We start from the raw sequence: 20,500 nt of genomic DNA on the forward strand, positions 1-20,500 counted from the left end.
CAAGTCTCGTCATTACAACAGAATGAAAAGGGATATTTGACATATTTTATTTCTCAAATTGCAGCTACAGTTTTGAATGCCCTGATTATGTTGTGTTGATTAGTGACCTAATGATCTCTCTTTTCTTTTACGTCGTTAGATTTCAGACTGAAGACAGTGCAGTGGGTCTGGAATAAATGTTTGCAACACAGGGGACGTGGCTTCCAGTGCTGGAGGCAGCCACGACGGCCACGACACGGGGGACGTGGGTTCCAGTGACGGCCGCGACGCAGGGGACGTGGGTTCCAGTGACGGGCGCGATGCAGGGGACATGGGTTCCAGCATTGGAGGCAGCCGTGACGGCCGCGATGCAGGGGGCGTGGGTTCCAGTGACGGCCGCGACGCAGGGGACGTGGGTTCCAGTGACAGCCGCGACGCAGGGGACGTGGGTTCCAGTGACGGCCGCGACGCAGGGGCGTGGGTTCCAGCGTTGGAGGCAGCCGTGATGGCCGCGATGCAAGGGGCGTGGGTTCCAGCGTTGGAGGCAGCCACGATGGCCGCAACACAGGGGACGTGGGTTCCAGTGACGGCCGCGACGCAGGGGACGTGGGTTCCAGTGACGGCCGCGACGCAGGGGACGTGGGTTCCAGCATTGGAGGCAGCCGTGATGGCCGCGACGCAGGGGGCGTGGGTTCCAGTGACGGCCGCGACGCAGGGGACGTGGGTTCCAGCATTGGAGGCAGCCGTGACGGCCGCGATGCAGGGGGCGTGGGTTCCAGTGACGGCCGCGACGCAGGGGACGTGGGTTCCAGTGACGGCCGCGACGCAGGGGACGTGGGTTCCAGTGACGGCCGCGTCGCAGGGGCGTGGGTTCCAGTGACGGCCGCGACGCAGGGGCGTGGGTTCCAGCGTTGGAGGCAGCCGTGACGGCCGCGATGCAGGGGGCGTGGGTTCCAGTGACGGCCGCGACGCAGGGGACGTGGGTTCCAGTGACGGCCGCGACGCAGGGGACGTGGGTTCCAGTGACGGCCGCGTCGCAGGGGCGTGGGTTCCAGTGACGGCCGCGACGCAGGGGCGTGGGTTCCAGCGTTGGAGGCAGCCGTGACGGCCGCGATGCAGGGGGCGTGGGTTCCAGTGACGGCCGCGACGCAGGGGACGTGGGTTCCAGTGACGGCCGCGACGCAGGGGACGTGGGTTCCAGTGACGGCCGCGTCGCAGGGGCGTGGGTTCCAGTGACGGCCGCGACGCAGGGGCGTGGGTTCCAGCGTTGGAGGCAGCCGTGATGGCCGCGATGCAGGGGGCGTGGGTTCCAGCGTTGGAGGCAGCCGTGATGGCCGCGATGCAGGGGCGTGGGTTCCAGCGTTGGAGGCAGCCGTGATGGCCGCGATGCAGGGAGTGAATAATCAGCGTGTGCGTCCAGGCAGCAGGTTCCAAGCAGAAGCTTTCCTCCTGTGACTTTGAAAAGTGACCTCCTTGTCAGTTTCTTACTCACTGAACTATAAACTAGAATACGAGTATGGACTCAATGTAAATGCAAATCGATAGAAATAAAATTGTGGCTTTTAAATGTGACATTTTCCATGAGGAGTAAAGAGTTGGAGGCAGCCAGGCACGGTGGCTCACGCCTATAATCCTAGCACACTGGGAGGCCAAGATGGGCGGATCACTTGAGCTCAGGAGTTCGAGCCCAGCCTGGCCAACACAATGAAACCTCGTCTCTACTAAAAATACAAAAATTAGCTGGGCATGGTGTGCATGCCTGTAATTCCAGCTACTCGGGAGACTGAGGCAGGAGAATTGCTTGAAACCCAGGAGGTGGAGGTTGCAGTGAGCCGAGATCGCACCATTGCACTCCAGCCTGGAAGATAAGAGTGAGACGCCGTCAAATAAAAAAAAAAAAAAAAAGAGTTGGAGGAATCCCGATATGCAGGAAAAAGATGTATCTGGAAAGCCCTAATAAAGCCCTAATAAAGGAGCCGAGGCCACAAACCAACAGGACATGAAATGCAGGTGGTGAGAAGACCCAAACCAGAGCTGGCACCAAAGGACAACGGCTTTCCCCTCCTGCAGGCGTGTCCAGGCAGTCAATGCAGGGCAGGGTGGCCAGCACTGTGACACCCACGGTCATGACGGGATCTGTGTGGTGGCCTCGTGGAAGGGGCAAGGCAGATGCCTAGGAGAGAGCAAGGGGGGAAATAAGGTCCCAAAGGGAGGGTTGGTCAAAAAGGAAAGGGCTGCAGAGGGTGCTGTCCTAAGGCAAGGGTGACCTGTGTGCAGTTCCAGAAGAGTTTTGCTACCCGGTCTGTGCAACTGCCTGACTCTGGCGTGAGATGGGGAGAGCACAGGTGGTGGGGCAGCTGCTGGGAGCAGGTCCCAGGCAGAAGCTGAGGACACGAGAGGGCACAGGAGAGGCTCTTCCTGCCCTGAGGGCTCTGAATGAAAACTCTAGTATATATGTTGGGGGCTGAGGATCTGCCGGAACCCCAACTCTGAGGGGATGCATGCTCCCTATGCATACCTAGAGCCTCCTCCCCAGGGGTCTAGAGCTCAGCTCTGCCTGAAGCTTGAGGCAAGGTGGGGGTTGCTAAGCAGCTGGCCCTGGGGGCATCGCCTCAACCACACCCAGGACGCTTGACCAAGCAGAGGGACTGGTCTCAGGGACTGTGATGGCCGGAGGGATTTTTTTTTTTAATTGTATAATGTCAATAGCTTTAGGGGTACAAGAGGTTTTTGGTTGCACAGATGAAGGTACAGTGGTGAAGTCTAAGATCTTAGTGCACCTGTCACCCAAGTAGTGCACATCATACCCAAGGCATAACTTTCCATCCCTCAACCCCGTCTCCCTCCCCGCCTCTGAGTCTCCAGTGCCCATTATACCACCCTGCATGCCTTTGCATGCCCGTAGCCTTGTGTTCCCACTTATAAGTGAGAACATAAGGCATCTGGGTTTTTTATTCCTGAGTTATTTCACTTAGAATAATGGCCTCCAGCTTCAACCAAGTTGCTGCAGAAGACATCGTTTCATTCTTTTTCATGGCTGAGTAGTATTCCATGGTGTACATGCAGCTCTTTATCCCCTCATCAGTTGATGGGCACTTAGGTAGATGCCATATCTTTGCAATTGTTAGAAGGATTTTTTTAAGCTGTAGCCTGAAGTCTCAAGAGTTTCATGCATTTACAGTGGTGTCTCCCCACGTTCTCTCTGCATTTTCTTCTATGTTATCTCAGCCAGCTCGAACTGCAATAACAAAACACCACAGATGGGCGGCTTAAACAGCAGACATGCATTTCTCTGAGTCTGGAGGTTGGAGGTCCAAGATCCAGGTATGAGGCAATTCTAAGTCTGGTGGGGGCTCCATTCCTGGCTTGACGACAGCGGTGCCTTCTCACTGTGTCCTCACGTGGTGGAGAGAGTGCAGCCCTGCCATCTCCTCCCCTTCTTCTAAGGACACCAGTCCTATTGGATCAAAGCCCCACCCTCATGGCCCCCTTGGACCTGATTTACTTCCTTAGAACCCTTTCCCCAAATGCAGTCATCCTGGGGTTTGGGATGTCAATGTGTGGATTCTGGGGAGACAGTTCGGTTTATAGTGGACAGACATTTTTTCTTAGAAATCTAAGAAAAGAAAACCCTCCCCTGCCTTCCCACTCCCAGGAGAGGAGCCAGCAGGGGTGAGGCCACCCAGCCCCAGCACACGTCCTGCAGAAGCTGGGGTCCCATGGGCTCTCCCTGGAGAGACAGAGAGCTGTCCACACTTGGCAGCCCCAGTCCACACCCTAAGGATGCTGTCTCCACACCTGAGCCGCCCACTGTCCTGCCCCCACCCACCGTGCAAGGTTTCACATGTCCCGACCTCCCCTTTCTGGCTCTCCTCCCAGCGTCCTCTCTTAAACTTGCAATCTGCAGGTCGTAGGGGTGACGAGTTATGAACCAATCTCAGAAGAGAGACAGGCAGGGTCACACTTGGGTGGCAGCAGACCACCACCTGCAGAGACCAGGTGGCAGGTCCTTCTGGGAGGTGTGGGACGCACCACCAGGGGCTTAGGGCATTCCACCTACAAGGTTCTTAGACCCTTATTCATACATGGGGGACGGGCACAGTATTTCTACAGCAATCCACACTTCTGAATTGCCACTGATTTCGCCAATGAAAATTAGTTTCAACATATATTATGTCAATTAACAAACTCAACTGCAGGCAGACCACGATGGCAGAGGCTGATGGGCCTGTGGTGGCCACTGTGGGGTGAGGCTGCCAGGCCTGGGGAAGAGCTCCCTGACAGTACATTGTGTGTGAGCTGACCTTCCCCCAGGTGTGCTTTACAACCAAAGACGTGTGTTGTATGTGTCCGTATGCACACACACGCACACAACATCACAGGGATGGACACAAGGTCACAGATGATAAAACCTGCTTCAATGGGGATGTCAGAGAACAATTAGAAAACCAAAACCGTCCTGCAGCTAGTCATCACGCCAATCTGTAATAGACAATACATGATCGTTATGTTAATTACTTTCAGGGGTTAGTGTCAATGTCTTTCTAACTTTCGGCCTCAATGTAGACATAGCTCAGCTGTGTCTACACAGCTGGGCAAGTCCTCCTAGCACCCTGACTTTGAGCTTTCCCTTAGGGGCTCAGAGCTGTCTTTGCCTCTGAGTCCTTTTTTCTTCTCTCAATCTCCTGTGTGGACTTGAGTCCTGCAAATGATCAAAGCTGGAAGGTCCAGTCTGGAGTCACTGCAGAGTATGTTGCTCATGCTTCCCCGAGAATTATTTCATAATTGCATTTGCAGTGACCAAGAAGGGGAGGAAACAACAGCTCGGACAATTCAAGCTTCAAGAATCTCACCCCTGGGAGAGGAGTCATTCCTCCACCCACACTGGCCCACGCCCCGCCCCAGTGGATTTTCCTGCTGGGAAAACAGACCACTTTGCAAGTTGTTCCTTGGATATTGGAGGTCGGAGGAGGATGGCGAAGACTCTGTACGTAACTAGATGTCCTTAGTTCTTAGACGACCACAGTGACTCAACCGCCCTCTGCCTCCTGAAGGGCAAGGCTAAGAAGTAAAACAAAACAAAGTAAAAAGCATGCGGGGAGTGCCCTGTCCAGAACCCCCCATGAATGTCTACACTATGAGGTAGATTCTCTGCCCAGGAAGGGCCCACGACTTGCTGCCCTTCTCCATGCCAATCTGCACTTTGAGATCACCAAGAGAAATACTGACTATCCCAAGACAGATTCAACTGCCAAAGTGAATGGTGTGGACCGCCAAATAAGGTTAAAGGAGACCTCCCAGCCCTGTGCCAAGGACGGGGCACTTCCTCAGGAAGCTGGTTCCCCTCATCCTCTCAACTTCCACTCTTCTCTCCAGAGCCTGGGTACCTTGAAAGGCATTGATTAAAATAGTTACAGCAGTCTTGCAAGAAAGTATGGTTAAGAAGTGTAGGATGCCTTATCATATAAGTGAAATTAACCAATGTGCTCAAACTAAACACAGGCATTACAAAGACAGTCAATATTAACACAATGGAAATTGCACTTAGGGTCCAGACTTACACATACAGAGCTAGAAATGATGAGTGGTTATCTGTGAACTTAAAATACACAAAAGCATGATATTTGCCCAATAAGTTGGTGCAATTACACATTGCAAAGAAAATATGTTTAAAGGGGTTATAATAAGGAAGCAGAAAAAAGCCCAAGTTTGTTTTTTTGTATTTAGATTCAAAAATATTCAGTGAAACAACAAATATCCTTAGGCAACAACCCTATCCAAGCAGAAGGCAAGCTGTGAGCCCGGCTCAGCGAGAAACACGTTGGAAGCTCCCCCTCCTCAAGACAATGGGGAAGTAAGATGCCAGCATACAAAACATTTTTCAAATTATCAAAACCAGAACATTTCAGATACAATAAAAGGTGGCATAAGTTGGAAAAGGATGATAGAGAATGGGGCAATCATTTTCAGTTGGAATGGAGAAGTTCTGACAGAAAAATGTGATATCTGATCTGACTCTGAAAAGGTGGATAGAGTGGGCAGAGTGTGGAAAGGTACAAACACCAGGAAAGTATTTCTGGGAGCAGAAAGGTGGATTCAAATACCTAGAAGTAAAGAGGAGTCAGGCTTATGGAAGACAGAAAATAAATTCAAACTACCAAGCAGCCAGCCAGGGGAACCACAGATGCAGCCGCCCAGATTGGCAAAGACAGAGGACAAGGCACTTTAGCCCCAACGAAAGTTGGTAGGAAAAAGCAACAAAACAAATACATGAAAAAGCAGGCAGGGGTCAGACCCAGAGCATTCTCCAGGCAGGTGGAGTCCTCTCTTCTGCTAGGTGAAGGGAGAGTGTGGTTGGGGGAGGCCGGACAAGACGGGAGATGATAGCAGGGCAGACAGGCGGTGAAGGGCAGTGGAGGAGGATGAGACAGGGGACCCTCTGTGAAGGGGAATCTGGAATACCCGACACACTGCAGCATGAGGGTGAGTTAGATAAGCGTCAAAATGCATCAGAAATGCCAAGTGTTCACGATCCGCTGGGGTATGTTAGAGCAGGTCTCATGGACAGGAGGAGGAAAGCCGTTGAGTGATATTGGATAAACATGGGTCTTCATCTGTGTGGGCAGTGGTAACAAAGTGCCCTAGACGAGGGCGTCTAGAAACAACAGACATTTATTGTTCACAGTTCTGGAGGCTGGAAGTCCAAGATCAAGGGGCTGCCAGGGTTGCTGAGAGATGAGGGCTCCATTTCCAGTTCACAGATGGTGCTTTCTCACTGTGTCCTCACCAATGGGGCAGGTGAGGGAGCTCTCGGGGTCCCTTCTACAAGGGTACTAACCCCATTTATGAGGGCTTCACCCTCATGACCCCATCACCTCCCAGAGGTCCCAACTTTTCATACTGCTACCTTGAGGGTTAGGTTTCAACATGAATTTGAGGGAGACACCAACATTCAGACCATAGCAATGTGAGAGGCTTTTCTAAGTTAGATACAATACAATTGGAAGGGAATAATATTATAAAAATCAGGCAAAGAAGCTAAGATTCTGGAATAAAAGGATGTCTGAATGTTTCATACACATATCTCCCTAGAAGACTTGAAGGCTTATCCTTCCAGGACACAGTTTTTCAGTTTATCTGGGGCTTTGGTCTCATGGGTCGATAAAGTTTGTGAAGGAATTAGAAGGGAAAAAATTTAAATAAAAATGAAGGGAGGACAATAGTTAAAGAAAAGTCACAAAGTTTAGGAAAGTCGGCTGAGATAAAGGGTACCTCTGACACTCGATGATGGGAAGGGACCAAATGCATGCGGGTTCCCTCGACCATCAGCACAGTTGCCTTGGACTAGCGGCCTGTGGTCAGTGGCCTGAATTCAAGGCTGCGAGACACAGATGGAGTGGGTGTGGTTCCTATCTGTCCAGATCAGTCAAAGTCGTGCACATGGTTCCTATCTGTCAGATCAATCATAGTTGTGGACATCCTCATGGGAAAATTCACCAGAAGTGAACATAGTGTGGAAACAACGGTGGCTGTTGTGGAGACAGCTCCTCACGGGGCCCCTGGGGTCTCTGTGCAGGCTGTGGGCAGAGGCACTGAGACCCACTGACCCGCCACTGTCTTTTCAAGTATGTTTGCTTAGTGTGCAGCCTTGGGAGACACAGATAGTGCTTCCCTCCGGAGAGGAAAAGGCAGGTCCACTCAGCATCCACTGTCATGATGTGTCCCTCCGGGGCAAAGGCCAGCCAGTCTCACAATCCATGGTAGGACCCAGATCCCCTGAACTCAAGCTCCTTATCAGTGATGCAAACCCACAGCCACACTCACCTAGGACTTAGGCAACAGGGAGAGCAAAACCTCAGACTTTTTATAGTTTTAGCTTTTGACACTAAACACATCAGAATAATTCTGAAAACCAAAGACAAAGAGATAAATCTTTAAAATACCGAGAGAAAAATAACACGACACTTTCAAAGAGCCACTTTTAGAGTGTCAGTTGACTTCTCAACAGATAGAAAACAAAAGGCATGTAGTGATGGCCTTGGAGTGTTTACAGATCGTATATAACAATCCATGCCCAATAAGGATACTTTTCCAAAATGAAGGTGGAAATCAAGATGTTCCCAGACAACCAAAACTCATGAACATGAGGCAGGACACTTTTTTTTGGAAGAGTGGAAATGCTAAAAGTAATAAAGAATACACAAAAGGGTAAATATTTGAAGTAAACCTACATAAAGATCTAATATTTAAGACAATAATAAAAATGTTTCATGCATTTGAAACATGGGATAAAATGCAAGACAAAGCCCAAAAAGTGAAATAATTTAAATACATAAAATGTAAAAGTAATAATTTAGGATAGACTATGTCAATGGTGAATTTTTGGCAAAAAGTAACCATTGAAATAATAGTAAAAATGTTAACTATAAGCTAAGAGGCAGAAATAGAGAAATAAAAATCTTGATTCGTTCATAAAAAACACAAGGAAGGAGAAAAATGAACATGGGGCAAATAGAAAATAATAGATGGTGGATTTAAAATAAAATACAACAGTAATAGTATTAACTGTAAATGGACTAAACATGCTAACTGAAAAACAAAGATTATCTCTCTGGATAAAATAAAAGATCCCATGGTACGCTACTTACAACACAGGGGCCAGACCAGTGAAGATGTACTTTAAACCTCAGCACAAAGAAGTAATAGGGTAAAAGGATTGAAGAAGATACACCACAAAGTTCAAAACCAAACATACCCAACTTTAAAAACTGATATAACTAATGAAGAGAAAAGACAGACTTTGCAAGTTTGTCCAACCCACTGCCCATGGGCTGCATGCGGCCCAGGATGGCTTTGAAAGCAGCTCAAAACAAATTCATAAACTTTCTTAAAACATTATGAGCTTTTTTTTGTGATTTTGGTTTTTTTAACTTATCAGCTATCACTGGTGTTAGTGTGTTTTATGTGTACCAAGACAATTCTTCTTCCAATGTGGTTCAGGGAAGCCAAAAGATTGGACACCCCTGCTTTAAAGCAAGAAGTATTACTAAAGATAAAAAAGGATATTTCATAAAGATAAAAGGTTATTATTATTATTTATAACACTATGTAAAAGGAATAATATGTTAAGCCTAGTAGGATTTATTTTACTAATGGAAATGGGTTTTATATTTAAAATTAGTCATAGTAAAGCAACATAAAAACAGAGTAAAAGATAAAAACTATATGAGAATATCAATAACTGCAGAAATATTATATAATAAAACAACATCTATTCATGATTCAGACAAAAAGCAATTAAAAAGAAACCTCAGTTAACCATAAGCACAAGGATATTTCCCAAATATGTCAGAATATTTACAAAACTGCGTATACCTATGCAATAATGGAATACTGAAGACACAACTAAGGAAATTGGAAATGAGACAAGAATTTCCACTAACTCCATTTCCTTCAGTATTGTACTAGAAGTACCAACTGAGACAATGAGGTAAGAAAAGGAAATTTAAAAATTAGAGTTAGAAGTAGACAAATAAAACCTTCATTATTTATCCAAACAAAAATATTTTGAATGTAGAACTTCAAAACAACTATAACTATTTAAATTAATAAGTTAATTTATTAAGATTGCTGAATATGAGGTCAACATCCAAAATTCAATTGCATTTCTATATGGTTGCATATCTAGAAAGTGAGATTTTTAAAAAATTACAATACCATAAGAACATCAATACCAAGAAATAAATCTAACAAAAATGTGCAAAACTTTTATAAAAGACTGAAAAAAAATTATTCAAACTTATTAAAGAAGTTGTACATAAAGACAGGAATATACCATGTTCACAAACTGGAGGATTAAATGTTAAAATTGTCAAGTGAGCCGAAATTGATTTATAGATTCAATACAATACCAATCAAAACTCCTGCAGGCATTAGTTTTGTTTTTGGTGGAAATTGACAAGCGGATATTAAGATACATATGGAAAGGCACAGGGGCCAGACCAGCGAAGACCATCTTGACAGACAGCAACTAAGCCGAGGCATTCATATTACCAGACATCAAGACTACGTTTATCAGCCTATAGCAATTAAAACAGTGTTGATGCAAGGTCAGCAAATCACAGTAGAAATTCCAGAAAGAGACACACTCACATATACAGTCACTCAATGACAACCAAGGTGAGAGTGCAGGGCCATGGGGAGAAGACACTCTTTCAACTATATGTCATGAAAAGTAAAACACAAAATCCTCAGCCCCTGAACTGACTGAACAGCCCTCCTCTTGGCCACGGGGACCCCAGAAAAACCTGAACTGACTTCCTGGCCATGATGGGATGGGAGGTGGGATGCCCCTCATGACACCCCTCTCTCACCACCACCATTAGGCTTCCTTCCCTAAGGGTTAAAGAGAAACCAGCCCTTTTGGAAGACTTGCTCCACTGCTGATTCAACCAACCTCATCACTGACCCTCCCTTTTTACGATCTTGACTCAATAACCAACAGCATTCCTTCCTGACAGGAGACCACTGGCCATGGAATGGCTCTGGCCACTCTGCGGGGAATGTGCAGGGAGGGTTTTCATATCCTCTGCTTCACCTTTTGAAGTCAGAGAGCCAAAATCTCCACCCTCAGATCAAACTAACACCGCCAGGTTTTGAACATGTGATCCATGGAGAAGCATGAAACTCAGGTGCACGTGTGCATGCCATCTTTTCATAAATATTAATGATTCCTATACCTTATTAAGTATGTATATTGGCTGTCCCATTCTGAATAAATTTCTGTCTTATTCTTTCCACCCATGTAGTACCTGTTTCCAGCTTCTGAGTGGAGGCTACACTTCCCAGCCTATAAAAATGGCCACTCTTGCACTCTTCACAAGAAATAAAGCCCTCCTTTCCAAATGTATGAACCTCCTCATTCTTCAGCTGACAATCACCAGGTCAGCTATGCATGAGTCATAACATTAACCTGAATCCCTGCAATATGATATATTTAAAAATCATTTCCAAGTGACCATTGAACCTGGAAATGAGAGGTGAAATTATTAAATTTCTAGAAGATCACATAGGAAAACATTGGTTTTTTTTTTTTTTTTTTTTTTTTTTGAGACAGAGTCTTGCTCAGTCGCCCAGGCTGGAGTGCAGTGGCGCGATCTTGGCTCACTGCAAGCTCCACCTCCTGGGTTCACGCCATTCTCCTGCCTTAGCCTCCCGAGTAGCTGGGACTACAGGTGCCCGCCACCATGCCCGGCTAATTTTTTTTGTATTTTTAGTAGAGACGGGGTTTCACTGTGTTAGCCAGGATGTTCTCAATCTCCTGACCTCGTGATCCACCTGCCTTGGCCTCCCAAAGTGCTGGGATTACAGGCATGAGCCATCGTGCCAGGCCCATAGGAAAACATCTTAATGTTGATTAAGCTTTCCTAAACAGGACACAAAAAGATTGACAAATAGGACTTGACAAAAATTAAGAACTTCTGTTCAATTAATAAGAGAATAAAAGGCACAAATTGAGAGAAGAAATGTAATATATCTCTCTATATATAAAATAACTCATATCTAAAATATAAGGGTATATATTCTTATATATATATAAGGGTATATATTCTTATATATATATAAGGATATATATAGGTAATATAAGACATTACAAATCAATAACAAATTGAAGATAATTTATTTTAAGTGAGAAAAAGACTTAAGCAAGCACTTCACAAAAGATGTTCAAATGACCAATATGCACATCTGAATGGGCTCGACCTCATTAATCATCAAGCAAATGCAAATTAAAACCACCATGAAACACCACTCCTCACTGCCAGAATGCCTGCACTTTAACGCTGCCAACATCACATGCTGGAAAAGACTTGGACCAGCTGGAACTCTGATCCTTCGCTGGTGAGAATGTAAATCAGTAAAGCCATTAGGGAAACATTTTGACAGTGTCTTATACAGCTGAGCATGCAGGAATTCTATCACACCCAGCAACTCCACTTCTAGGCAGGTACCCACCTGCAATGCATTCACATGTGCACCAAAAGACTTGTTCATATCCACATTGCTCGTAATAGCCTAAAACCAAAAACTATCCATCAGTACTTGGTTAAATAAATTGTGGTATATTTAACATGAAATACGACACAACGACAAAAAAAAAAAAAAAAAAAAAAAAAAAAAAAAAAACATAGATGCCCAAAACCACATGAATGAATCACAGACAGGATATTAAGTGGGAAATGGTACAGACAGAAAACTACGTACTGTCTGATTTTATTTGCATGGAGTTCATAAAACGAGGCAAGATGAATCTGTGGTAACGAATGTGCAGCCAGCATTCTGTCTTGACTGAGTGGTTGTTGCTTGAAGGTGTTAATAAACTGTCCAACTCCACTGGGCTAAAAGCTAAGATTTGCGGGCTTTGCTGTCTAAATGCTGTACTTCAACAGAAAGTTCACCCAAAGTCCTTATGCTTTGGAGTTTGTAGCATTGAAAATATTCTCTTCTTTTAGCGGGAACAAACTTTTCTCACAAAAGAAACCCAATAAATATCTCTCCAAAAGAAGTTTAAAATCAAAGCGAACGGAGGGAATGAATAAACCAAGCAGAGGCCAGTTCTCCTCTTGGGTGGTTCGTGACAACCATTTCACCCCCAGAATCCTGACAATGCCATGCTCTTTCGGGGATTTCTAATGGCGGCAGCTTTAGGCTTTTCCTCAAGGGATCCTATGAGATTCCTGGAGGTGGGACTGTGCTGCGGCAGCTGTGGATCCTCCCACAGTGAAGGGGGCTTCCTGCAACGGCCTCACAGCAATCCATGGATCCTTCCCACAGTGAAGGGGGCTTCCTGCAGCGGCCTCACAGCAATCCATGGATTCTTCCCACAGAGAAGGGGGCTTCCTGCAGTGGCCTAACAACAATCCATGGATGCTTCCCACCGTGAAGGGGGCTTCCTGCAGCGGCCTCACAGCAATCCATGGATCCTCCCACAGTGAAGGGGGCTTCCTGCAGCGGCCTCACAGCAATCCATGGATCCTCCCACAGTGAAGCGGGCTTCCTGCAGCGGCCTCACAGCAATCCATGGATCCTTCCCACAGTGAAGCGGGCTTCCTGCAGCGGCCTCACAGCAATCCATGGATCCTCCCACAGTGAAGGGGGCTTCCTGCAGCGGCCTCACAGCAATCCATGGATCCTTCCCACAGTGAAGGGGGCTTCCTGCAGCGGCCTCACAGCAATCCATGGATCCTCCCACAGTGAAGGGGGCTTCCTGCAGCGGCCTCACAGCAATCCATGGATCCTCCCACAGTGAAGGGGGCTTCCTGCAGCGGCCTCACAGCAATCCATGGATCCTTCCCACAGTGAAGCGGGCTTCCTGCAGCGGCCTCACAGCAATCCATGGATCCTTCCCACAGTGAAGCGGGCTTCCTGCAGCGGCCTCACAGCAATCCATGGATCCTTCCCACAGAGAAGGGGGCTTCCTGCAGCGGCCTCACAGCAATCCATGGATCCCTCCCACAGAGAAGGGGGCTTCCTGCAGCGGCCTCACAGCAATCCATGGATCCTTCCCACAGTGAAGGGGGCTTCCTGCAACGGCCTCACAGCAATCCATGGATCCTTCCCACAGTGAAGGGGGCTTCCTGCAGCGACTCTCACAGCAATCCATGGATCCTCCCACAGTGAAGCGGGCTTCCTGCAGTGGCCTCACAACAATCCATGGATCCTTCCCACAGTGAAGGAGGCTTCCTGCGGGGACTCTCACAACAATCCATGGATCCTTCCCACCGTGAAGGGGGCTTCCTGCAGTGGCCTCACAGCAATCCATGGATGCTTCCCACAGAGAAGCGGGCTTCCTGCAGCGACTCTCACAGCAATCCATGGATCCTCCCACAGTGAAGCGGGCTTCCTGCAGCGGCCTCACAGCAATCCATGGATCCTCCCACAGTGAAGCGGGCTTCCTGCAGCGGCTCTCACAGCAATCCATGGATGCTTCCCACAGTGAAGGGGGCTTCCTGCAGCGGCCTCACAGCAATCCATGGATCCTCCCACAGTGAAGGAGGCTTCCTGCAGCGGCTCTCACAGCAATCCATGGATCCTCCCACAGTGAAGGAGGCTTCCTGCAGCGGCTCTCACAGAAATCCAAATAAGCAGCCTGTGGTTTACCGAGAGCCGTTTCACAACCACACTTTCACTCCATTGCTGCCTTCTCCATGAATTTAGCAAACCATGAAGACTATACTTTCTCATACCCCATTTTCTGCTCTCTCTCTCCCACCTGCCTTCCTTCTTAGCAAAGCTGCCCTGCCAGTTCCCAACAATGGAATTCCCAGCTGGTAGATTAAGAGATTGCCAGAATGGCTGAGGCCAACGCTCCTCAGCCATCTCCTCCTTCAAACCCTGCAAACCCATAAGATCTCAGCACAGAATCCACTTTATTAAAACCAGAAAGTTTCCGTCACTAACTCTTAACACTCGTTGAGACAGGCAATAACACAATCAGCTTGGCCACGTCATCCTGTAGGATGGAGTCTGTCCTCGCAGACTGGGATTTCCAAGTTCTTCCTAACAGCCATATTTTTTTTTCCTGTTTGCAAAACTCGGAGATCAGTGAAGCCTTTTCACCAAATATGATAGCTTGTTTCTTAGGAATCTTCTGTCACTCATGGGGACTTTTCTGACTGATTAACAAAAAAAAAAAAAAAAAAACACACACACACACACAGGAAATGTCATTTTGTCATATATTTTTCTGTTACACATTTTTTTGTCCCAGATCTGGCAATTGGAGTATGGCTATAAAAGTTGAGCCATCTTCCAGTTTCATCTTTAAGTGAGAACTTGGGATTTCCTGCTTGATGAGAAACCAGAGCTGATTCCTTCTGCACATCCGCAGAGCTCCCCACTGAAGCAGAATCCAGCAGAACCCACAGAACCAGATAAGAGCTTACACATGCATTACCACAGGTGTGAAATGCCTGACACACAGGACGGGTTCCCCTTCTACGTCCTCGTGGGCCATGGGCACCCTACAGGCTGAGCTGGGTAAACAGCGTTTGCTGGAAAGAAAACGGACACAGAACTCGGCTGGCCATCACGCCTGTGTGCCCACCCAGGGGTTTCTTCAGCTGGAAGACACCGCTGTTGTCAAACCTTGTGTGGCCTCATCCTGTGCCAGCAGGAGTGGGAGAGAATCACCAAGCCGCTCATAGCCCTCGCACTCCCCCTCAGCCTCCAGCCAGGGCACCGCTGCTCCGCACCGCATCCACACGCACAGACATGCTCCGTTTCCACTCCCGCTGTGGACACACAGTCTTCGTGTTCGGAGGCCTGTGTTGTGCCCTCCCTCCCGCTGGTCACTCTTCTGTTTCTGCGGCTGTCCCTGGACGCTGGAGGTGCCGGGAGGGGAGGTCGTGCTCCCTCACAGCCACCCCTCGCCCCCCAACTCACTCATGTGCTTATTTCCCCACTTTGTTTTTCACCAAACATTCAATAATCATCTTCCAGCCCCTCCTCCACCCCAGTCCCTGTGCTAAGCCTGGGACTGTAATGACAGACAATGGTCTAAAGAATCGCAGAGAAGGCAGAGAAGGAAAGAAAAACAGTCGCAATATGGCAGAGTAAACAGGTATGAATCTCCTGTTCATAAAATAAGCCAAAGTCATGCCATTTATCCAAGTAAAGAATGTGGCTTACAAGCGAGGCTCACGGAGGTATTTCAATAAGCCTTTCTTATCTGACAGCTTGAAGAGCCTATTATCTTACACCATTTATACAGACAAACTTTCAGTCAATTCATTACAAATAGAGCAGGCTCAATTCAACAATAATTACACAATAATCTCTCATGGATTTGAGTAGCATGTTGCACTTTGAAGTATGCTTTCGATCATGGATACACAGCCTTAATACATTTTTATTTATATCTCACCTTTCTTCCAAAAAAGATTAGAGGTATCCCATCTGTATGAATCTATGAACAAACAGAATCCACAATGGGCAGAAAATGTGTGAGCCAACTTCAGAAAACATTTAAAACTTCAAAAGAAAGTGTGTTGGTCCCAGATTAGAGGGGCGTGACTCGCTGCGCTCACAGGCTCCCCTCTGCTGCACAGGGTTGCGCTCCAGGGGCAGCTAGGAAGGACCCCATCATTCATGGCACAGCAGTCAGGGTCTCAAGGATAACGACGTGCCAAGTCCCACTCCTGCGCCCTGGCTCCACCCTGGGCGTCCCCTGCTTCCCTCCTTCCTGCCCTGCGGGCTCCATACCAGCTGCTCCCTGAGAACTCACCCAGGCCTGCTGGGTTGGTGTCCTGGTCCTGACCAGGCCCCGGGCTGAGTGCACAGAAGGTCTGGGAGACACTGGGTCCCCTGGGGAGGGAGTGAGGCTTCCTTCTTCCAAGTCGGGCTGGATTCTCCGGGACCCCCGCTCCCTCTCTGTCCCCGACAGCGCACTCTGACCCACCGCGGGCGCTGCCCTGCTGAGCTCTCACGGGAGTCCCAGCCCCCGGGTCTCAGCCAGCACTACCCGCTGGCCAGGTTCCTTCACCACTTGCCCGCCGGATCCCCCAGGACCATGAGCAGAGGTCAAACGTGGATGTCATAGACCCTCCTGAAGGTGTAGAATTAGTGGGTGAGAGCAGAGAACCCGAGCCTGGTCACTCCTCCCAGGACAAGCGTGAGGCCCACCCTGAGCCCCATGCAGGGGTCTCCCAGGACCCCCGGGGTCCAAGCCTGAGTGCCTTGCCTCCTCTCCCAATATTTCCTGTGGAAAATCTCCCCCCACTTTCAGGACAATTCCTGTCTCCTTGCCTGAGGGGTGGTCTCACTCTAGAGGTTATTCCCTCCCCCAACAGCACCAAGAGGAGCAGTCGCAGAGCCACCCAGCTGAGCCCTGCCCACCCCAGACTGTGCCTTCCGAGCATGCCCGGCTGCGCAAATGGAGATAGGCCCCTCGCTCCGTCTCTCTCTGTCCTGCCTTCCTCCTGCCTGTTGCTGTCTTCTGTACTGGCCGTTAAAAAACACTACACAACCCGTTCCCGGGCCCAGCAACAGTTCCCTGAGATCATCTGCTCCAAATTTTCTTAAGGAATGGGAGCATTTTCCTAAAACCAGCCTGGTCTGTAAACACCTCCCTGGCCGGAATAGAGGCTTCTGTATTCCCAGCTTCCGAGCCTTCACGGGGCCTGTGCTAGAGAACTACCCCCTTTTCCATCCATCAGAGCTCAGCATAGGCGCCAGAAAGGCTTCAAAAGCAGGTCAACTTTAAAAACCTGAGCCGCTGTCTACCATAATTTGTACTTATTTATTTGGTTGCTCGGGTGCTGACCTCTGCCGGCTGCAAGTGTGCCTGTCTCATTCACCTCTGAATCAGCAGCACCTCAGACCCCATCTGACTCAGCGCCTTGGGGGCACCTCTTCCCACCCCGGGACCCTGGGCATAGCCTCCTCTTGGCCTCCTCACCCTCTGGTCCAGGCTTTGGTGCAGAATGCCTAGGGATGCCCCAGGAGTGATTTTTGGCCTCAGATTGACTCTTTTTTTGCCAGGCTAAACCTAGGTTATATTTTTTGCCGCCAAGTTTTAATCTCACAGCCCAGTGAATATATATATATATTTTCAAATTTGATTTTCCAAATGTCCCGGGAGCACATGCCCTGTTTCCTAATGAATCTCCGGGGTTCTTCAGAGTAAACAACAAAACATAGCATTCCTGCTTTGGGACTCCAGCCCTCCACCCTGGGGAGCACGTGTCTCCTTGACCATGGTCATCTCCTACTAGACCGGAGTTGAGGAAGGAGCCGGGAGTCCCAGGCCGATGGAGCCGAGCCCAACCGAGCCCCAAGGAGAGACCGTGGGGGCTGCCTGAGAGCTTCAGCCCAGAGCAGTGGCAGACAGGAGAGGACGGCCACTCTTGAGGGGCGTGGGCGGCCATCGGCAGGCTGAGGGGGTGGGCGGCTGCGGGTTGAGGGGTTGGGTGCCTGTCTTCAGGCTGCTCCTCTACGCAGGCCCGAGCCTGTGATCAAGGAGTCACCCAGAGCCCAGTTATGTCTACGGGAGCTCTTCTCAGAGAAATGGGCACCGACACCTCTAAGATGGTCCCTGGAAGCCCATGAGCCAGAGCCGTGTTCCAGATTTAAACGTGTCCGTGTGTCCTATGGGGAAAGCGCAGGTCATCCAAGGAATGGAAGTAATGGAAAGATATTTTTGAAACAATATTTTTTTAAATGTTCAAATAGTTACTGCCACCATGGAAGGAACAGAAATCCTCCAGAGCAGTGAGCTCCACATCACAGGGGCATTCAAGCCCGTCCTCCCAGGAGGATGCATATCCCACGGCTGCTCAACCAGAAGACAGCTTGTCACACCTCATCCTCCCAACTGGACAGCTTGTCACATCTCATCTCCCCGGGTTCCACTGTGTGCTCCATGGCAAAGCTCTGCCCCTTGGGCTTGGGGTCTGGGGGAAGATCCCTGGACACCTGGAGGTGCAGGTAACCACGGGGAGGTGTGCAACTGTGTCTCCCCAGCCCTTCAGATGAAGAGGGAGCTGCCAACTCTCCATGCGTCAGTGCAGAGTCCGCCGAGCTACATGCAAAGGTTCAACACAGGGCTGATCCACACAGGCTGATTCTCACCCGTGCCTGAGTCCTCCTGCCTTGGTGACCCCTTAGGTGAGTTAAGAGCACTTCTCGGGAAGTAATCATCTTGGACCTCAGCAGCTGCACAGAGATTTGGGTGAAGGCCATCCCTTTCTGGCCCCAGGTCCCCTGCATAATGCACTGACTCAGCCTCACCTGTCCCTAGGACGAGCCTGGCTGTCCCGGGGAGGTGAAGAGCCCCACCCCCTGCAAATGTGGAGGCCGGGCACAGCGCAGGTGTTTATTAGAGAACCTTTCTGCCTCCTGGTCTGCAATCAAGGAGATTCCTCAGCTCATTAGCTTCACGGACAAGTTCCGGAAGAGGAAGACCAGGCCCCCCAAGCTATCAAGGTGCCCGGGATGACACCCAGCTCCTCCCCCACCCCCTTACTCCCTGGGCGCTTCAGTCCATCTGGCTGTGCCCTCGCTGCGGCCCCGGCTCCTGGCCTCTCCTGGCTGCCACTTCTCCCTGGAAAGCTGAGACCTCAGGACTGGGAGTAGAAAACAAGGAGAAGGAATGTGGAGGTGGAACTTGGCAGAGGGCGAGGCCGGCCCTCCCTGTGGTCATCTCTGCCCAGCAGGCTGCCCTCCCCACCCAGATTCCTATCCAGGCCAGCATCCCCACCCCTGGCCCCACCCACAGGGCCCTCCCTGGAACCTGCACAGTGGAGACCGGGGGAGACCAGGTGGGGAGACCAGGTGGGGAGACCAGGTGGGGAGACCGGGTGGGGAGACACACCGGAACAGGGACACCCCGTCCCCAGGGAATCCTGGAGCTACACCCTGAAGGTGCAGCTTTTATCCTAATGGGCTGGGCTCCCACACAGATGTGGAGGCAGCACTGCCTGCAGAAGCCCTTGTCAGTGGCCATGGAGAGCCTGTCCCTCTGTCCTCCCGCCCTGTCCCTGTCCCCACCCTGTCCCTCTGTCCTCCTGCCCTATCCCTCTCTCTCTTCCCTGTCCCTCTGTCTCCACTCTGTCCCCACCCAGTCCCTCTGTCCCTCTGTCCCCGCCCTGTCCCTCTGTCCCTACCCTGTCCCTCTGTCCGAACACTGTCCCTCTCTCCTCCTGCCCTGTCCCTCTGTCCCTGTCCCTCTCTCCCTGCTGTCCCTCTGTCCGCACCCTGTCCCTGTCCCCATCCTGTCCCTCTGTCCCCACCCAGTCCCTCTGTCCCCCAGTCCCTCTGTCCCTCTGTCCCCGCCCTGTCCCTCTGTCCCTACCCTGTCCCTCTGTCCGAACACTGTCCCTATCTCCTCCTGCCCTGTCCCTCTGTCCCTGTCCCTCTCTCCCCGCTCTGTCCCTCTGTCCCTGCTCTGTCCCTCTGTCCTCACCCTGTCCCTGTCCCCATCCTGTCCCTCTGTCCCCACCCAGTCCCTCTGTCCCCCAGTCCCTCTGTCCCTGTCCCCGCCCTGTCCCTCTGTCCCCACCCTGTCCCTCTGTCCCATCCCTGTCCCTCTGTCCCCACCCTGTCCCTCTGTCCGTGTCCCTGCCCTGTCCCTCTGTTCCCACTCTGTCCGTCTATCCCTGCCCTGTCCCTCTGTCCCCGCCCTGTCCCTCTGTCCATCTCCACTCTGTCCCTCTGTCCCTCTCTCCCCCATCCCTCTGTCCCTCTGTCTCTCTGTCCCCCGTCCCTCTGTCCCTCTGTCCCTGCCAGTCTATGCCCTGTGCTCATGGATTTCCCTCACAGGAACTTTCATTTTCACACAATGAACAAGCGAATGCAGCTCTGGGTGAGGGCAGGGCCCCACCTCTCAAAAGGACGACTCAGTCCTTCCAAAGCCTTCCATGGCCCCCGCCGGATCCTCAGCCTGGAACCCTGGGTCAACAGTGCTCCCCAAAGCTCTCCAAGAGGGGCTGCCACCCCAGGGCATGGACAACACCACCCATTC

General features: G+C 50.0%; 1 long non-coding RNA gene across 8 annotated transcripts in view, besides 3 other annotated features; it reads right to left on the reverse strand.

The window, feature by feature from the left end:
* Positions 1 to 20,500, reverse strand: part of LALTOP (lung cancer associated lncRNA targeting TOP2A) — a 140,518-nt gene that overhangs the window by 83,056 nt on the left and 36,962 nt on the right. For 3 of the 8 annotated variants that reach the window (NR_198947.1, NR_198945.1, NR_198946.1), the window contains one exon: positions 2,642 to 5,040. The exons of 4 other annotated variants lie outside the window; for them this stretch is intronic. This is a non-coding gene — a long non-coding RNA (lung cancer associated lncRNA targeting TOP2A). Of the gene's footprint in view, positions 1 to 2,641; positions 5,041 to 18,173; positions 19,104 to 20,500 lie in introns of those variants that run through there. One more of the 8 variants, NR_198952.1, reaches the window with a different exon arrangement.
* Positions 4,217 to 4,718: an enhancer, noted in NCBI's record as "NANOG hESC enhancer chr2:1575946-1576447 (GRCh37/hg19 assembly coordinates)". NCBI's record gives its function as "activates a minimal SCP1, AML or CMV promoter by ChIP-STARR-seq in primed H9 embryonic stem cells {active_cell/tissue: H9 hESC(primed)}" and the evidence as "EXISTENCE:reporter gene assay evidence [ECO:0000049][PMID:30033119]".
* Positions 14,725 to 15,239: an enhancer, noted in NCBI's record as "H3K4me1 hESC enhancer chr2:1586454-1586968 (GRCh37/hg19 assembly coordinates)". NCBI's record gives its function as "activates a minimal SCP1, AML or CMV promoter by ChIP-STARR-seq in primed H9 embryonic stem cells {active_cell/tissue: H9 hESC(primed)}" and the evidence as "EXISTENCE:reporter gene assay evidence [ECO:0000049][PMID:30033119]".
* Positions 15,240 to 15,754: an enhancer, noted in NCBI's record as "H3K4me1 hESC enhancer chr2:1586969-1587483 (GRCh37/hg19 assembly coordinates)". NCBI's record gives its function as "activates a minimal SCP1, AML or CMV promoter by ChIP-STARR-seq in primed H9 embryonic stem cells {active_cell/tissue: H9 hESC(primed)}" and the evidence as "EXISTENCE:reporter gene assay evidence [ECO:0000049][PMID:30033119]".

The sequence above is a fragment of the Homo sapiens genome, chromosome 2 (genome assembly GCF_000001405.40).
Source record: "Homo sapiens chromosome 2, GRCh38.p14 Primary Assembly".
Lineage (NCBI taxonomy): Eukaryota > Metazoa > Chordata > Mammalia > Primates > Hominidae > Homo > Homo sapiens.